The sequence below is a fragment of the Homo sapiens genome, chromosome 2 (assembly GCF_000001405.40).
Source record: "Homo sapiens chromosome 2, GRCh38.p14 Primary Assembly".
Lineage (NCBI taxonomy): Eukaryota > Metazoa > Chordata > Mammalia > Primates > Hominidae > Homo > Homo sapiens.
Window position 1 is genome coordinate 120,230,822 of NC_000002.12, and position 17,255 is coordinate 120,248,076.

Genomic DNA, 17,255 nt, shown 5'->3' on the forward strand with positions numbered 1-17,255 from the left:
TAAAATAAAATAAATGCCTCTGCACGCCACTGAGAGCCAGGCCCTGGAGTTACCCCATGAACAGTGTGGGGCTCCTGACTTAAAGGGGCATCCAGCAGTATAGCAGGCAGCACGGCCTGATGACTCGGGCCACAGGAGCATGGCCCTCCCCTGTCAAAGCTGACTTCTCGTTTCTCAGGACAAAATCCATACGCTTTACCGTGCCCTTCAAGGCCCTGGCTGACCGGCCGTGGCCCATCTCCCTGGCCTCACCTCACTGCCCATGGGGCTCCTATGGCCACCTCAGCTTCTTTCTGCTCCTCAGACTCCCAGACTGGAGCCGTTGCTGCCTCAGGGTGTTGCTTTATGTGTTTTCACAGATGCCTTTAGGGGAGATAGACCTAAAAGAGTCTGGGCAACATGCACAGCCTCCAAGCAGTTCACTCATCACTCAGCTACTATGGCCAGACTGCCTGCTAGTGCCCGGTAGGTGCCAGGCCCTGGGGAAGGAAGCAATGCCCTGTGGCCCTTGTTCCCAAGGACCGAGCACTTTTCCACGCAGTTAAGGTGCACAAACACAAAACACCGAATAACGCTGAAAGAGCCCAAGAGAGGACCAGAGGTCACTGGGCTGAATATGATGAAAAGTCAACTAAAAACCAGAAAAAAAAAAAAAAAAACATTGGAAATAAGCTATAGGGCAGCGATCAGGGAGAAGCTTGTGCTCTGAGCTGCAACAGAACCCCAAGGAGACCACTATCAAGAGGGTGCCCTGGTGTAGTTAAGCATGGGCCAAAGAAGGGACCACCTGGGTTCAAACTTGGCCTTGTCATTTCAGCAGCTGTGTGTCCTTGACCAAATGGCTCAGCCTCTCTGAGTCTAGGTTTTCTCATCTGTACAATGGGGATAATAATATCTACTTCACAGGATAGAGGTGAGATAATAGAGATACAGGCCTGGCACATTCAGTAGATGCCCGCATGGGCACGTACTCCCCTCCCACGCCCCACCCTGTGCTGGTGTAGAAGAGAGTGCCCAGGAAGATCTGTGCTCGAGTCAGCTGGGCATAACTAAGGACACCTTAAATTGTGTAACCAGGTGACAGGCACCTCATTCATTCTCCACCCTGGGGCTGGTTCTGCTTTATAAATTAAGGGGGCCAGGGTGGCCCAGAGGTCCCCAGATGCAGGTCCAAATGCAGCATTGCTGGCTACATACAGGCAGATTCTGGGGCCTCACCCCGAGAATCTTGGTGATTCAGACTCACCAAGTCAGAATCCTTGCGGGTGAGGCTCGGAAACCATTTTTGTAAGTCTTCCCAGGTGATTCCAAGTACAGCCAGGTCTTCGCACCCACACAGCCAGACGGCCCCTGAAAAGCTTTCTCAGCCTTTGCAGTCTGTTTCTGGCCGCATCAAATGTGCTGAGCAGTGTGGGTTTGGTTCAGTGTTCATCCCCCACTTTCATCAGAGACAGGGGGCTTCTCTTGGTCCTCACTCATGGGAGGAAGCCGCAAGCGGAGACGACTAAGTGGAGAAATAAATCTCTAGCAGCTGCCTGCTGCCCTGCTCTGGAGGTTGTCTGCGAGGAGGAGAAACGGCTAACTTCCAAGAACTGGGGTGCTTTCTCCCCACCTATCAGCTGAATCGAAACTGAAAATATGCCTCCGAGGCTGGAGATCCGTGACAGGCTTGAAACCTTGACAAGCCAACCCTTCTCATGTGGCTGCTTTCCACCTAAGAAAGAAAATGAAACTCCTCGGAGTTCCTGCTGGTTTTAGATTTTTCTCTGGTACAAACAAAAATTATTTACTGTCACTGAGGTTCTTTCCAGATTACCCCAAACAGCCATAACTTTCCCAGCTTTATCTGGGGGGTATTTGGTGTGGTGAATTGCTGTTCATATAGTGAATTCCTATTGCATATCCAGCGTTACTAGATTTCCCCCGTGAAGACAGGTCATCTCTTGAGCTCTGAGTGCTCTTACAGAGCAGGGGGGTTGAAGAAAGAGGTTCTCCCTGATGGTTTCTGAGTGGGTGCTTTAAAAAGCTCAGTAAGAGCCTGGCACAGTGGCTCATGCCTATAATCCCAGCACTTTGGGAGGCCAAGGTGGGTGGATCACCTGAGGTCAGGAGTTCGAGACCAGCCTGGCCAACATGGTGAAACCCCGTCTCTACTAAAAATACAAAAATTAGTTGAGCATGGTGGTGCATGCCTGTAATGCCAGCTACTCAGGAGGCTGAGGCTGGAGAATCACTTGAACCTGGGAGGCAGAGGTTGTAGTGAGCCAAAATTGTGCCATTGTACTCCAGCATGAGCAACGAGCGAAACGCCATCTAAACAAAACAAAACAAAACACCTCAGTAAGAGTGGAAGTGGTTTACGACTATTGATGCCACAACAACAGATACATCAGCAAAAGGAAACTTCAGGAACAATATGGTCGGGATGGAGGTGTTGGACGTTGTTTTTTCTTTTAATTAACAAAAAAACAGGAACACATTTAGTAGTAAACAGAGGGCCCAGTTTTCTCTTTTTGGTCTGAAAGGGGCTTCAAAAAATTGTATTCAGTGTTAAATAGAATAACAATGGCAATGAAGATAGTGAGAAGCGCTACCATCTGTTTAGCATGATGTCCGCGTGGGGACTGGGGGAGAGATTTGCTCCCATTACGGGGGAGACTGAGGCTCAGAAGGGTCAAGTGCCTGGCCTAGGCACCTCGTCCTGTTAGAGGAGGGCACAGCTGCCTGCTGCCCCTCCTTCCCCATCTCTGCCTCTCTAATCTTCCTTGAGGAAGATTCCATCAGAGGTTTTAGTTACATATTCCTACACCATGCCTGGAACATAGTAGGTACTCAATAAATCCAACTTTTCCTGAGTTAGTGGTGAGGAAAAGCTGGACTCAGGATCAGGCTGCCTGTGAAGTCTGGCCTGTAGCTTGCCAGCTGTCCCAGCTTCAGGGTCCTCACACCCAGATGTGTGTGTAGTAACAGAGCACTTCTTGCCTGCAACAGTGCCTGGTTCCCAGTGTATGCCAGTTGACTGATCCGTATTATTATTTTATCTTAAGAGGACTTCCAGCCTCCAGAACTGTTGATGAATAAATGTTTGCTGTTTAAGCTACCAGTGTGTGATACTTTGTTATGGCAGCTTGAACAGACCAGAATATTTAGAAAATAATTATTTAAAAAGGACCTTTTTTTTTTTTTGAGTTGGAGTCTCGCTCTGTCGCCCAGGCTGGAGTGCAGTGGTGCAGTCTCAGCTCACTGCACGCTCCACCTCCTGGGTTCACGCCATTCTCCTGCCTCAGCCTCCCGAGTAGCTGGGACTACAGGTGCATGCCACCACGCCCGGCTAATTTTGTTTTTGTATTTTTAGTAGAGACGGGGTTTCACTGTGTTAGCCAGGATGGTCTCGATCTCCTGACCTCATGATCCGCCCACCTCGGCCTCCCAAAGTGCTGGGATTACAGGCGTGAGCCACCGCGCCTGGCCTAAAAAGAACTTCTAAGCAGACATTTGATAGAGCACTGACATGGGTGGACGTTCATTCTGACCCATCTCTGTGCTGCGGTGGAGGCAGGCTGCTCTGGGAATGGCCGTGTGCAGGATTGCTGATGCCCGGGGTGGGGTGCCCTCCTGTTTAGAGAGGGGTGCTGTTACAGCAGTCAGGCTCTCTTTGATCTTTACCCATTGGTCTGCAGACTCCCCGTTAACCCTGGCAATGCTTCGCCATCTTATCTGCCCCCTTTCTTTCTTGGATTAAAAAGAGGCCCTAGGCAATACCATTCAGGACATAGGCATGGGCAAAGACTTCATGACTAAAACACCAAAAGCAATGGCCACAAAAGCCAAAATTGACAAATGGGATCTAATTAAACTAAAGAGCTTCTGCACAGCAAAAGAAACTATCATCAGAGTGAACAGACAACCTACAGAATGGGAGAAAATTTTTGCAATCTATCCATCTGACAAAGGGCTAATATCCAGAATCTATAAGGAACTTTAACAAGTTTATAAGAAAAAAGCAACCCCACTCAAAAAATGGGCAAAAGATATGAATGGACACTTCTCAAAAGAAGACATTTTTGCAGCCAACAAACATATGAAAAAAAGCTCATCATTAGAGAAATGGTCATTAGAGAAATGCAAATCAAAACCATAATGAGATACCATCTCATGCTAGTTAGAATGGTGATCATTAAAAAGTCAGGCAACAACAGATGCTGGAGAGGATGTGGAAAAATAGGCATGCTTTTACACTGTTGGTGGGAGTGTAAACCAGTTCAACCATTGTGAAAGACAGTGTGGCGATTCCTCAAGGATCTAGAACAAGAAATACCATTTGACCCAACAATGCCATTACTGGGTATATAACAAAAGGATTATCAATTATTCTACTATAAAGACGCATGCACACGTATGTTTATTGCAGCACTGTTCACAATAACAAAGACTTGGAACCAACCCAAATGCCCATCAATGATAGACTGGATAAAGAAAACATGGCACATATACACCATGGAATACTATACAGCCATCAAAAAGGATGACTTCATGTCCTTTGCAGGGACATGGATGAAGCTGGAAACCATCATTCTCAGCAAACTAACACAGGAACAGAAAACCAAACACTGCTTGTTCTCCCTCATAAGTGGGAGTTGAACAGTGAGAGCACATGAACACAGGGAGGGGAACATCACACACTGGGGCCTGCCAGGGGGTTGGGGGTTAGGGGAGGGATAGCATTAGGAGAAATACGTAATGTAGATGACGGGTTGATGGGTGCAGCAAACCACCATGGCTCTTGTATACCTATGTAACAAACCTGCATGTTCTGCACATGTATCTCAGAACTTAAAGTATAATAATAAAAAAAAAAAAGGGAGAAAAAAAAAAAAAAGAAAGAGGCCTTCTGGAAGTTGTGTTCTAACCCCTGTGAAGATCAGTGTTTTGCATGTAGCTTTGGAGATGCGATGGGAGTGTGAAAAGTCACTTACTGTTTGGGTCTGTGCTAAGAGCCCACCCACTTCGTGCCAGTGGAGCACCTCCTGCAGCATTCCACAAGGAGTGCCGTCTCTAGATAGCATGTGAGAGGGTGGGCAGCACGGGTCAGTGTGGAGACCCAGGTGCCATGTCCCCACCTGCAAGACTGGATTCTAGCTTTTATTTTGTCCCAACCCCTCATTTGGACACAGCTGGATTCCTCTCTTAAGATAAAATAATAATACGGATCACTTAATAATAATACGGATCCCAGTGGCATACACTGGGAACCAGGCACTGTTGCAGGCAAGAAGTGCTCTGTTACTGCACACACGTGTGGGTGTGAGGACCCTGAGGCTGGGAGAGCTGGCAGGCTACAGGCCAGGCTTCACAGGCAGCCTGATCCTGAGTCCAGCTTTTCCTCACCACTAACTCAGGAAAAGTTGGATTTATTGAGTACCTACTATGTTCCAGGCATGGTGTAGGAATATGTAAGTAAAACCTCTGATGGAATCTTCCTCAAGGAAGATTAGAGAGGCAGAGATGGGGAAGGAGGGGCGTCAGGCAGCTGTGCCCTCCTGTATCAGAACGAGGGGCTGTCGGGCCAGGCTGAGGAGGACAGAGGCTGCAGAACCCCAGAGAGTCTCAGCTCTCCAGCCCAGGTGCAGCTGCCCCTTGGGCAGACAGCCTGGAACACATCTGCTCATTAGTAGCCTACCCAGGCAGCTGGCCGAGCGCCTGTCCCTGAAGGCCTCCCTGAGCTCAGAGGCTCCCGAGCCCTGGCACTGTGGGTGCAATCCCCAGAGCTGCTTTCCCAGGCTCGTTGCACAGGCAAGTGCAGCCCAGGTGTCTGACAACTTTGGCTTCAGCGTCATGGCCTCCACATCGAAGCCGTTGTGGGACACCCAGGAGTCTGAGCTCAGCAGTGAGCTCGGAGCTTGAGCTTGAGCTTGGGTTGCAGAATCCAAAAATCAATTAATGTGGGGCTTGGGGGGAAATCTGTCTGACCGGTGGTTTGGCAAAATCTTCAATCACTGTGAGACAGAAGATGTGTGCTGCGTGCTGTGGCTATGGTGCGCATGGCTGCAGCTGCTGCCAAATAGGAAAGGCCCCCACAGTGCCTCCATCCCCCAGCCCTGCCTTTCCTCCCAAGTGCAGTGGGGGTGTCTTGAGGCGAGGGGCTCTCTAGGCACTATGCCTCCTCCATAGTCCTCCAGACCCCCTTTACTTGAAGACTAAGCAACTAGCCCTTTGGCAGTCAGTTCTAAGGGTGAGGGGCCTGAAGTGTCAGCAAGGGTCAGAGCCAGGCGCCTGGCAGAGGCTGGAGGGGCAGAGGCAATGGTGATGGGAGCCAGTGAGGCCAGAGCATGAGCCAAATCTCCCCTCTGATCATTTTGGACCAAGTGCAGTGAGCATGAGTTGGAGGTGTCCTCAAATTGCAATCCTCTGGGGTCTTCCTCTGTCTCTTCTTTTCGGGTGAGTTTGGCAGCGGATGTGAGGAAGGTGCTCTTCATCAGTCGCTGGGTTCATGAATGGTCCTCATTTCCTGAATCCTTCTGGATCATTCTCTGAATTCAGCAGGGGCATGTCTCCCTGGGCTGACGGGTGGGGCTCCAGGTGCATCTGGCTGCAGCACTCTGGGAGGGGGCCCGAGGTGCATGCAGATCTTGAGTGGGTCTCAGAGAAAGAGACACACAGGCCCCACATGCGTGTGCACACGCACACATGGGCATGAATGTGGGTACGAGGCATGTGTGCTCCACACGCTGACTTCACTGGGAACACTGACCCCAGCTGCAGAGAGACCGGAGCAAGGGCTGAGGGAGGCAGAGTGAAGGAGCGCTCATCCCTGGGAGGGCGCCTGGGAGGAGAAGTGAGTCATTGACCAGTGGTCATGGTGAGTTTGCCTTACGGAGCCATCTCTGGAGCCTGAGGTCACAGGGTCTCTGGAACTGGCCCTTCAAGTTCCTGGGAAGGGTTTTGACAGGGAAGTCGTCCACAAGGGCTTTCCCCCACTGGAACACTGCCTAGCCTTCTCAGAAACGCCCCATGTCTGTGGCAGGCTTGGTGTTCCTCCTGCCATTCCAGGCTTTCTGCTGCCCCTCCCCTCCCCTCCCCTCCCTTCCCCTCCCCTCTCCTCTCCTTTCCTTTCCTTTTTTTAAATAGAGATGGGGTCTCCTCATGTTTTCCAAACTGGTCGCAAACTCCTGGGCTCAAGCAGTCCTCCCACCTTGGCCTCCCAAAGTGCTGGGATTACAGGTGTGAGTCACCTTGCCCAGTAATTTGTGTAAGCATATACCTTGGATTCTCTACTAAACCGCCTAGTCTTGCCAGTCACTTCCTAGTCTTTCCTGCCTCCTGGCCTTCCTTTATCTCAGTCCCCTGCTGCCTGGAATGCTCTAATTCTCTCTCTTTCTCTCCCTCTTTTGTGTTTGTCAGAATCCTCATTGTTTTTTAAGCCCACTCAAGCCTCAAGCTCCACCTCTCCCAGGAAACATGGGGGCCTACTTTAGTCGAAGAAGACTCTTAGCTCTGAAGTTCTTTGAAATCATCTCTTCGCCTGAGGCTTCAGTTTCCTTACCTGTAAAAATGAGACAATACCATGTCATGGTTTGTTGTGAACATTCCCTGTGATGACCTTCATAACAGTGGCCAGCACGCAGTAGGTTCTCAGTGAAATCCTCATTCCTTTCCTGCTTTACGCCAGGCACAAAAATACAGATGTGAGGTGCACCCCTGGCTTCTCAGGAGGGAGCAGGGCTGGGGTGGAGGAGGCCTGGGTGAGGGGTTCCATACCTACCCAGGGAAGGGAAGGGATGGCAGGAAGCCTTTGAGAAGACCTGCTACTGGGCTGGGTTTGAAGGACAGTTAGAGGCCATCAGGAGCACCCGAGGAGCAGGAGTACGGTGAGGCAGTGGGGCAGGAGGAGGACAGGCTGGGAAGATGGGAGACAGGTGGTGGGAGGGGCTGGGTGCGGGGCACTGTCGGGGGCAGCCGGAGAGAAGACGAGAGCCTGGACTTTATGAAGAGGTGAGGAAGTCACTGAAGGAGTTGAGGGCGGAGGCAACAAGTGGGAGAGGCTGAGCCAGGAGAGGCGGCTCAGTGGCCTGCAAGGGTGGGTGGGGACCAGTGGAAGGCAGCCCTGACTCAGGCTTAGTCAGAGGTCCTGGTCCAAGGTCCCCTGCCCGCTCCCCGCTCCCCGCTGCAGCCTCACAGTGCCCTTCCTGGAATAAAAGGTGGAAAATGAGAGTTTGCTGTTTGGGGCTGCCATTCAACTTGCCTGGGCAGGGAGGATGATGGCTGAGGGCCGCCAGCATCCACGGCCCTGCTCAGTCCCCATCTCCTTGCACCCACTGTGGTAACCAAGCTCCCCACCCTGACACCTGGCTTGTCTTTTCTGGGGTGGTTTCTCCCTCAGGGACTTCGCTCCTCTGTTCAGTCTCCGCCATTTGCACAGCCCCTCAGCTGAGTCGGTTTCAAGTGAGCAGAGCACACAGGGGCTTTGAACACCAGCCATGCCGGGCTGGGGAGGAGGGCAGGGAGGAGGAGTGTGGCAAAGGCAGCCACGTGCTCCACGTGTTCCTCTGGATGCCCCCGCTCCTCCTGGCGCCCCGTGAGGGTCTGTGTTGGTCCCTGTTGTGCCCTGATCCCCAGCACCATGCCTGGGGAACCGTTAAATGAATGCTTATTGAACGCCAGGGTCACTGTCTCCAAGTCTCAGGTGTATCGCAGGTGCACAGTACCTGCCTCCGCCTTGGATGCCTCTACCCCACCACAGTAGTATAATTGCCCAGGATGTGGGGCAGGGGCAGAGCGACAAGGGTTGGGGGAGATGACTCTCTCAGCCCTCCCCTCAGCAAGCCCTCTGCCAGAGTCTCACTCTGTCCTCCTCCGTGCATTCCGAGAGGTAAGCGCGACTAGGAGTGTGGGCCCAGGTGACCTACGACTGTTCGCGGGGGATGGGGCCGTCAGGAGGGGCGTGGCCTCCACTCCATGCCTCTGAAATGTGCTGGCCTCTGTCTGGAAATTGCTCATTTTTCTTACCACTGAGCTTGGCAGTCATTGGGGAATTTCTGGAGGGAGGGGGGATCCTGGAAGGAAACTACCGTGGGACCTGTTGTTTCCCCAGAAGCTCAAACACAAAGAGAGGATGGAGTGGAGGTGGTGCTGCAGAGGGGGCTGTTTTTTCCCTTAAGAACAAGCTGCCTCCTGTCGGAAAAAGGAAGGCCGTTATCCTTTCATCTCATGTTTTTTTCCTCCAACCCCGGGTCTCTGTGTGGGATTTCAGCAGCGGGAGAGCGGGTGGCAGGAGGAGGTCTCTGCATGAAACAGCGGCAGTCAGGTGGGTGCCCGCCCTCGGTGTGGATTGCACTTCGAAGCCCCACAGTGACCTTGTGACTTGCCTGTTGTTATCCTCATTTGCCAAAGGAAGCTCAGAGAGGTAAACAGACTTGCCTGGGGTCACACAGCATGTACTCATGGAGCTGCTACTTTTTTATTTTTATTTTTATTTTTTTTTGAGACAGGGTCTCCCTCTGTCACCCAGGCTGGAGTGCAGTGGCGTGATCTTGGTTCACTGCAACCTCCACCTCCCAGATTCAAGTGGTCCTCCCACCTCAGTCTCTTGAGTAGCTGGGACTACAGGTGCATGCCACCACATCTGGCTATTTTTTTTTCTTTTTTGTATTTTGTATTTTGTAGAGACAGGGTTTCACCATGTTGCTCAGGCTGGTCTCGAACTCCTGGGCTCAAGGATCCGCCTGCCTTGGCCTCCCAAAGTGCTGGGATCACAGGTGTGAGCCACCGCACCTGGCAGGAGCTGCTATTTGAACCCAGGTCTGTGTGGTGCCAAAGTGATGTTAAAGCTTCCCCCTGGATGGGAAGAATGGCAGGCCTACACAGGCCTGCTATCCCCAGTCTTATTCTAGATCATGCCAGGCCTTCCCTCCATCAGAGCTTACTGTTTCCATGACCTCCTGGGTGTCTTTCCTCTCATGCCTTCTCCTGCATGTGCTGCTGAGTCAGTGTGAGGTTGGCTTCTGGGCACCTGGGTGAGTGTGTGGGGACTTGGGGAGACAGCATCTGGTGGGATTTCAGGCTGCCACATACTCAGCCTTTGGGTAGACAGAGAGAGCTGGGTTTTGGGGGACCGGAGGCCTACTGCTAGGAACTGGGAACAGAAGCAAAGTCGGTGCCTACAGCTGGAAAGGAGGCAGCAGTCACAAGGACCCCAGATCCACTGTCACGGGGTGTGCGTTTGTCCTTAGTCCTGTGGGAGCTGACGGACGGGTTAACTTGGATGCACCAGCAGAAAGCCACAAGGCTGAGACTGCCCAGTGGCGAAAATCATGCACCATGTGTCTGGGCCCCTGCCTCCCACTCTCCCAGAAGGGCTCATCCTCGAGCCTGCCCAAGGGGAGAACAGAGGTGGCCCTGGCTGTAAATAATCCCCAAGAGCCACAAGGCCCAAGGTCCCCTGCAGGGAGAGAAACAGCCTGTTTGCCTCCTAGGAGCCAGAAAGCTCAGGAGAGAATCTAGTTCACAGGGTGAAGATCCATGGAGTGCCTGCTATGAGCGGGGCTCGAAGGTGTGTGGGTCCAAAGAGGAAGGAAACAGCCTCCTCACACCCTCAGGATGGCTGCTATTAAAAGAGCAGAGAGGGCCAGGCATGGTGGCTCATGCCTGTAATCCCAGCACTTTGGGTGGCCAAGGTGGGCGGATCACCTGAGGTCAGGAGTTCGAGACCAGCCTGGCCAACATGGCAAAACCCCGCTGCTACTAAAAATATAAAAATTATCTGGGCATGGTGGTGTGCACCTGTAATCCCAGCTACTTGGCAGGCTGAGGCAGGAGAATCACTTGAACCCAGGAAGTGGAGGTTGCAGTGAGCTGAGATCGTGCCATTGTACTCCAGCCTGGGCAACAAGAGCGAAACTCCATCTCAAAAAAAACAAAAAAACAAAACAAAACAAAAAAACAGAGAAGAGCAAGTGTTGGAGGACATGGAGAAATTGGAACCTTTGTGCACTGCGGGTGGGAATGCGTAATGGTGCAGTTGCTATGGAAAACAATATGATGGTTCCTCAAAAAATGAAGCAGAATTAACATAAGATCTGGCAGTTCCACTTCTGAGTGTATACCCGACAGAATTGAAAGCAGAGTCTCAGATATATTTGCACACCCACATTCACAGCAACATTCTCACGATAGGCCAGAGGTGGAAGCAACCCCAGTGTCCATGGGCAGGTGAGTGGATAAACAGAGTGTGGCACACGTGATGGAATGATCCCTCAGCTTCAACAAGGAAGGAAGGACAGGCCATAACACAGGTGAACCTTGAGGACATTATGCTAAGTGGAATAAGCCAGTCATGAAAAGACAAATACTGTATGATTCCACTGAAACCTGGTACCTGGAGTCGTCAAATTCACAGAGACAGAAAGTAGATTGGTGGTTGCCAGGGGCTGGGGGCAGAGGAGGGAAGGGCAGTGAGTGTTCAATGGGTGTAGTGTTTAGACTTCTAGGGATGGATGGTGATGATGGCTGCACGACACTGGGAATTTACTTCATACCACTGAACTATACACTTAACAGCTAAGATGGTGACTTTTATATCATATATATTTTACCACAATTAAAAATAATTTTAGGCCAGGCGCAGTGGCTCACGCCTATAATCCCTTTGGGGGCTGATGCCTATAATCACTTTGGGAGGCTGAGGCGGGTTGATCACGAGGTCAGGAGATCGAGACCATCCTGGTTAACATGGTGAAACCCCGTCTCTACTAAAAATACAAAAACAAAATTAGCCGGGCGTGGTGGCAGGCGCCTGTTGTCCCAGCAACTTGGGAGGCTGAGTTGGGAGAATGGCGTGAACCAGGGAGGCAGAGCTTGCCGTGAGCTGAGATCGCACCACTGCACTCCAGCCTGGGCGACAGAGCAAGACTGCATCTCAAAAAATAGTAATAATAATAATAATTTTAAAATTAAAACAAAACAAAAAATAAAGTGGCCTGGTGTAGTAGCTCATGCCTATAATCCCAGCACTTTGGGAGGCCGAGGTGGGAGGATCACTTGAGGCCATGAGTTCGAGACTAGCCTGGGCAACACAGCAAGACCACCATCTCTGTTTTTTTAAAAAGTAAATAAAAAAATAAACAAAATGGACGCGGACTAACTGGCTTCCAGGGGCCAAATTGGCATGGTGCCCTTGGCATTGTATTATGTAATCTTTCCATCAACCTCTGTGAGAGAGAGCTCCCTTCGTTCTGATGCAGAAACCAAGGCTCAGAGGCATGCCTTTTCTCGCCCAAGGCTTTCACTGGTCTTTATGTCTCAGGTGAGCACTGATTTGGTGCATTGTGCTGGGCTGTAGCATTGGCACTCCGTCTGCCAGGGCTTCTGATTTCAGCTGGGGCCCCTCATGCACTCAAAACAAGAGAAGAGGACAAGGGCCATGTAATTGGTCGTGAAAATGCGTGGACAGATCAGGGAGGCCTGAGTCATCAAGAAGGCTTCTTAGAGGAGGAAGTGGGAGAAGTCCAGAGGCTATGGCTGGGCCACCACTCTCGCCCCAGCCCTTACCAGGACTCTGCTGGGTGGGAACAGGCTGTGTGGGATTCCTCAGGAGAAGGGCACATGCCACTGGAGCCATGGGGAGGAGCAGGGCCTGGGGAGCACCTCCCTCCATCCTCCTGGTGCAGGAGAGCTGCCACACACTGTCTCATTGGAGTCCCCAGCTGTCCTCACTGGGGGATCTTTTCACACCTGGGGAGGGAGTCCTTCTGCCTGAGAGCTGTGTCTTGGGCCTGCCACTCTGGCCTCCTCTCTCAGCAGCTGGGGGATTTGATGCTGTTGGTGGGTGTGGGCCCCTGAGATTTGCCCACCTGGAGATTCCTGGGCTTGGGTAGGGTTGTCAGATTTTGCAAATAAAAATACAACATGCCCAGTTAAATTTGAATTTCAGATATAAAAATGCATCATTCTTCATATAAGTATGGCCCCTGTATTGCATCGGTATTTCATGTGGCAAGTCTAGTCTTAGGGCTGTGTCCATTAGAGAAGGGGCAGTGGATGATGCTCTGGGTGTTCCAGGGCCTGCCACAGACATTGGCTGTATTAGTCTGTTCTCACACTACTATAAAGAACTACCCGAGACTGGGTAATTTATGAAGAAAAGAGGTTTAATTGACTCGCAGTTCCACAGGCTGTACAGGAACTATGGCTGGGGAGGCCTTGGGAAACTTACAATCATGGCAGGAAGTGAAGGGGAAGCAGGCACATCTTCACATGGCAACAGGAGACAGAGAGAAAAGGGGGAAGAGCAACACACTTGCAAACAACCAGATCTCGTGAAAACTCACTATCATGAGAACAGCAAGGGGGAAATCTGCACCCATGATTCAATCACCTCCTACCAGATCTCAACCCCAATATGGAGATTGCAATTCCACATGAGATTTGGGTGGGGACACAGAGCCAAACCATATCATTGGACATCCAGGCCCAGGCCCAGGCTCAGGCCCAGCCCGTCCCGGCTCTGCCGAGACACATGAGGCAGCCTTGGTTGGAGCTGCCGCTCAGCTCAGTGGGAGCTGACCAGGCAGGTAGCAGGGGCTCATCATTACCTGCTGTGATGGCTCACAGCCTCTGTTCCTGCCAGTGTGCTGTGTGTCTCGCAGAGCCTCAGCGGGAGACTGGCACTGTCAGTAAGCTGGGGTCAGTAAGCTGAGCTCTGCATGGGCCTCCCCCATCTCCTGCCTGTGTCACCAAGGCCTCCTGAATAGCACCCCTTCATCCTTGAGTCTCCTAATCACCCTTCTAGCCATTCCCTCATCCATCCATCCATCCATCCATCCATTTATCTGTCCATCCGTCCATGGACAGATACTTGTTAAGACCTACTGTGGGCCAGATGCTGTGGCAGCCACTTTGATGTATAACACCCCAGCTGCTAGGAGGGATGAAAAGAATTCACAGATATGACCTCTGGTTAGCCAGAGGACCCAATTTCCCATGCTCAGGCATCAGGTGATCTGGGGAGAGATTGTCCAGAGGCAACCTTTAGACACCAGCCACTCTAGGAAAGTTCCTGGAAGTAGCTTCAGGCTGTGATACAGTGGGAGCAGGAGCGCTGGGAGGCCAGGAGTCCCAAAAGTCAGGGAGCTGAGCTGGTTCTGCCAAAGGTGTGTGAGATGCTTCCCCCAGTGTTCTCTGTCTCTTTCGTCAGCCCTGGTGCCGAGTGCCCACTCAGGAAGAGGGAGAGCCGTGGGACCTTCGAGCCACGCTTATCTGGCTGCTGGTGCCTGGCACAGCTCCTGCAGATAGCAGAGGCTCAGCATGGGCTCGTTGACTGACTGTCACTTTATAGATGAGAACACAAAGGTCCAGAGAGTGGAGGTAACCTGTTAGAGGTCACACAGCTTTGCAGCATGGGTGGGAAGGTGGTGGACTGGGACAGGGAGCACGGATATGGTTGTCAGGCATTCTTGCTTTCAGGCTTGGTCTGCCTCTCACCAGCTGCGTGATTTTGGAAAGACATTGAACTCTCAACCTGATAGGCCTCACCTGTAAAGAGGACGTCACAGCTCCCTCTCAGGCTGTGAGATCCTGAACTGCTGAGGGGAGGGGAGGAGTGCTCTGCAATGTCACTTGAGAGAGTCCTCATGGCCACACCTGCCCTAAACAAGCCCCTCAGGGCCTGCCGAGCCCTGGGCCTCTTCTACCTGTCTGGGGTCAAGGCAGGGAGCAGTGGGCCCCAGCAGCAGACAGCAGGAATCGGACCTCCTGCTAGTTGGCCTTCCTGGCGCCCTGCAGGAACCAGGAGGCCTTGCTCCGGGGTGTGTACAGCTGCCTGGAGAGCTTTCTGTGATTTATGGCCTGAGTGCCAAGGCTGGATTTACTGCCTGCACGGGTTGTGCAAGGAGGCCCCTCCCCCGGGGCAGGGTGTGGAGGGGAGGGAGCCCTGAGCCCCTGCCTCTGGAGCTTTCCCAGTGGGGACCAGGCCTTGGTGGGGACCTGCCAGAGATGCTGCCTTCCCACTGTGGAGCCCACCCCAATGTCATTGCTGCTTTATTTTCGTTCCTGTCTGCCAGAGTTCTTCTTAGCCATGGTAAAAAATTAAAACCCGATAGAAAATAGGGAATCGCCCTTTGATCCCCACCCCAGAGATGCGCATTTTAATGGTTTGGTGGTCTTACCTCCTGGTGGAGCGAGGGTCTGGGGCCTTCTCAGGTATGTCCTTTTACCCCCCGACACCACCCCGCATTCCTCGAGCCTCTGACCCTTTGGCCTTGCCCTGCTCTCTAGCAGATGCGGGGAAGGAATGGGGCTGTCTATAAAAAAATCCACAGTTTAAAAAATGCTGCTCATAAAAATTCACCAGGGCGGGGTTTGGCATTTGTGGGTGGGACAGAGTGACAGAGGCTGCATGGTGCTTTGGTGAGGGGCCAGTCCCAGTCCTGGGGTGGCCCATGGCACTGCCCCTCCTGAGGGCTGGAGGAGGAAGGGGGATGGGCTTGGGAGACAGAGGGGCATCCACTTGCCCTTTGAAGTGCACCCCATCCCTGCCCCCATCCTAGAATCAGCCTCCAACAGTAAGCAGTGACTAAAGGGCCCTGAGGCCTCTGTGACCTCTTGACTCTCTGAGACCGGGGGTCTCCTCTATGAAGTGAGAATTGCTGTGAGGGGCCAGGAGAGCACAGCCGAACGTCTAACAGTGCCAAGCCCACCACCAACATCCTTTCCTTCCTCCTCCCCCTTCCTAACTCGGGTCTTCATGTCCTCTTTGTCTGTCTGTCCAGCCATCCAGAGCTAGCTGGCTGCTAGCGTCATGTGCATCTGCAGATCAGGAGCACCCCTGGGCCAAGGACCTGGATCCGCCTGGGTGCGGTCAGCATGTAGGATAGGTGGGCTGCAGTGTGGCTGTGGTTCCCCAGGGAAGGGCAGGTGTCTGTGACTGGACCTTCAGGTGCTCTGCCGTTTAAAGGGCAGCAGAGGTCACGGGGACTGTGAGGGAGAGCCTGTGGCTGAGTGCAGTCCCCGCTGCGTCTGGTGTGGAGGCAGCATCCAAGGAAGCCCTTGTGATGCTGTCAAGAGGACAGCTTAGCTGGGGAGGGAGGGAGGGGCTGAGCAGGGTCCTGTCATGCCCTTGGATGAGGTTGGCTTCCTGGTAGGCTGCAAATCATATTTCACTTTGGAAAGAGCTCAGCGCGGAATCTAGACACTTGAATCTCATTTTATCTCGCAATGGAGTACTTCGCAGCTGTCACCCCGTGGCGGCTTTTATCTGGTTACCTGGAGGTCGGTACCAGATCTGCAGCTGTTGTTCCCGTGCAGGTTGTGGGAAGCCCAGAGCATGCGTCTGCGGGAAGAGGGAAGGGGGAGGACACGAGAGGACATGCAGTGGGGATGAGCAATAGTGAGGAAGGCGTATGTCTCAGTTACAAGACAGACTTGACTTCACTTCTGGGAGATAACTCTTTGTAAACTATGACAGCAGAAAGATAAGTCCAGCTAATTAAATAATTTAAAATTGAAATTGAGATGCATGGGTTTTTTTCCTAATGTGTTTCCCAAGTAGCTTTGTTCCTGTTGGAAGATGAAAGCTTCTCCTTTAGCAAATGACTTGGGCCTCTGACTTTCTAAGAGAGCAATTCCCAGGAACATCTGGTGAGTGCCTGCTGGCTGGCTGGGCTGTAGGGACCACCTTGAGAGATGGTGATGGGGAAAGAGAAGCCCTCAATACCACACTTAGGGAAAAGTGGTTTTTAAAGTCCCTCGTAAAGTCCTGACTTACCACAGTTTAGTGGCAATGACTTACCACAGTTTAGTGACAATGACTAAACTGAGAAACAGAGTCAAGCGTTTGAATATGTTTGGGAATCAGTAAAGGGCAAGAGCTTTTTTTGGTAGCTGCCTGCAAAAGGCTGCAAGGAAAGGAAGGCTCAGGGCTACTGCTTAGGCGCTCCACGAGGGTTCCCGCGACGCATTGCCCTTACCTGGTGCTTTGCATGAGAACTCAGGAGTCTGAGCTTTTTTTGGATGAGGGGTAGATCCCTCCATCCTAGTGATGTGAATTAAAGATCTTAGGTCCTCCTCTAAAGACCTCCCACAGCCTGGAACTTCAGGTTTTCATCAAGTGCCCAGGACGGAATGGGAATGGAGCTGTAACTAGCCATTTATTCCTGCACGGGAATGAGCCTGTGCAACCCATGCCTGAGAACAGGACCAGACAGCAGGAAGTGAGGCGAGAACCTCTGGGCAGTGAGGGGTGGTGAAACGCAGAGGGGAAA

At 52.1% G+C, this 17,255-nt stretch overlaps 1 protein-coding gene and 1 long non-coding RNA gene across 3 annotated transcripts in view, besides 7 other annotated features; one reads left to right on the top strand and one right to left on the bottom strand.

Moving 5' to 3' along the window:
* Positions 337 to 386: an enhancer, noted in NCBI's record as "active region_16456". NCBI's record gives its function as "activates an Ori minimal core promoter by ATAC-STARR-seq in GM12878 lymphoblastoid cells {active_cell/tissue: GM12878}" and the evidence as "EXISTENCE:reporter gene assay evidence [ECO:0000049][PMID:35858748]".
* Positions 1,119 to 1,328: an enhancer, noted in NCBI's record as "active region_16457". NCBI's record gives its function as "activates an Ori minimal core promoter by ATAC-STARR-seq in GM12878 lymphoblastoid cells {active_cell/tissue: GM12878}" and the evidence as "EXISTENCE:reporter gene assay evidence [ECO:0000049][PMID:35858748]".
* Positions 1,569 to 1,918: an enhancer, noted in NCBI's record as "active region_16458". NCBI's record gives its function as "activates an Ori minimal core promoter by ATAC-STARR-seq in GM12878 lymphoblastoid cells {active_cell/tissue: GM12878}" and the evidence as "EXISTENCE:reporter gene assay evidence [ECO:0000049][PMID:35858748]".
* Positions 4,375 to 15,288, bottom strand: LOC105373583 (uncharacterized). The gene is made up of 3 exons (XR_923259.3): positions 15,162 to 15,288; positions 7,471 to 7,543; positions 4,375 to 6,930 (listed from the first exon to the last, which is right to left on the bottom strand). It is a non-coding gene; the product is annotated as an uncharacterized LOC105373583 (long non-coding RNA).
* Positions 7,082 to 8,281: an enhancer, noted in NCBI's record as "CDK7 strongly-dependent group 2 enhancer chr2:120995479-120996678 (GRCh37/hg19 assembly coordinates)". NCBI's record gives its function as "activates an origin of replication core promoter dependent on BRD2, BRD4, P300/CBP, MED14 and CDK7 cofactors, with strong dependence on CDK7, by STARR-seq in HCT116 cells {active_cell/tissue: HCT116}" and the evidence as "EXISTENCE:reporter gene assay evidence [ECO:0000049][PMID:35650434]".
* The window catches only part of RALB (RAS like proto-oncogene B), a 54,641-nt gene continuing 46,634 nt past the window's right edge, over positions 9,249 to 17,255 (top strand). The window contains exon 1 of one of the 2 annotated variants that reach the window (XM_047445359.1): positions 9,249 to 9,304. In XM_047445359.1, the coding sequence (XP_047301315.1) occupies positions 9,286 to 9,304 (19 nt within the window). In that variant the 5' untranslated portion in view covers positions 9,249 to 9,285. The remainder of the gene's footprint in view (positions 9,305 to 17,255) is intronic. The other variant, XM_047445357.1, reaches the window with a different exon arrangement.
* Positions 12,153 to 13,103: an enhancer, noted in NCBI's record as "H3K4me1 hESC enhancer chr2:121000550-121001500 (GRCh37/hg19 assembly coordinates)". NCBI's record gives its function as "activates a minimal SCP1, AML or CMV promoter by ChIP-STARR-seq in primed H9 embryonic stem cells {active_cell/tissue: H9 hESC(primed)}" and the evidence as "EXISTENCE:reporter gene assay evidence [ECO:0000049][PMID:30033119]".
* Positions 14,668 to 15,243: an enhancer, noted in NCBI's record as "H3K4me1 hESC enhancer chr2:121003065-121003640 (GRCh37/hg19 assembly coordinates)". NCBI's record gives its function as "activates a minimal SCP1, AML or CMV promoter by ChIP-STARR-seq in naive and primed H9 embryonic stem cells {active_cell/tissue: H9 hESC(naive and primed)}" and the evidence as "EXISTENCE:reporter gene assay evidence [ECO:0000049][PMID:30033119]".
* Positions 15,244 to 15,820: an enhancer, noted in NCBI's record as "H3K4me1 hESC enhancer chr2:121003641-121004217 (GRCh37/hg19 assembly coordinates)". NCBI's record gives its function as "activates a minimal SCP1, AML or CMV promoter by ChIP-STARR-seq in primed H9 embryonic stem cells {active_cell/tissue: H9 hESC(primed)}" and the evidence as "EXISTENCE:reporter gene assay evidence [ECO:0000049][PMID:30033119]".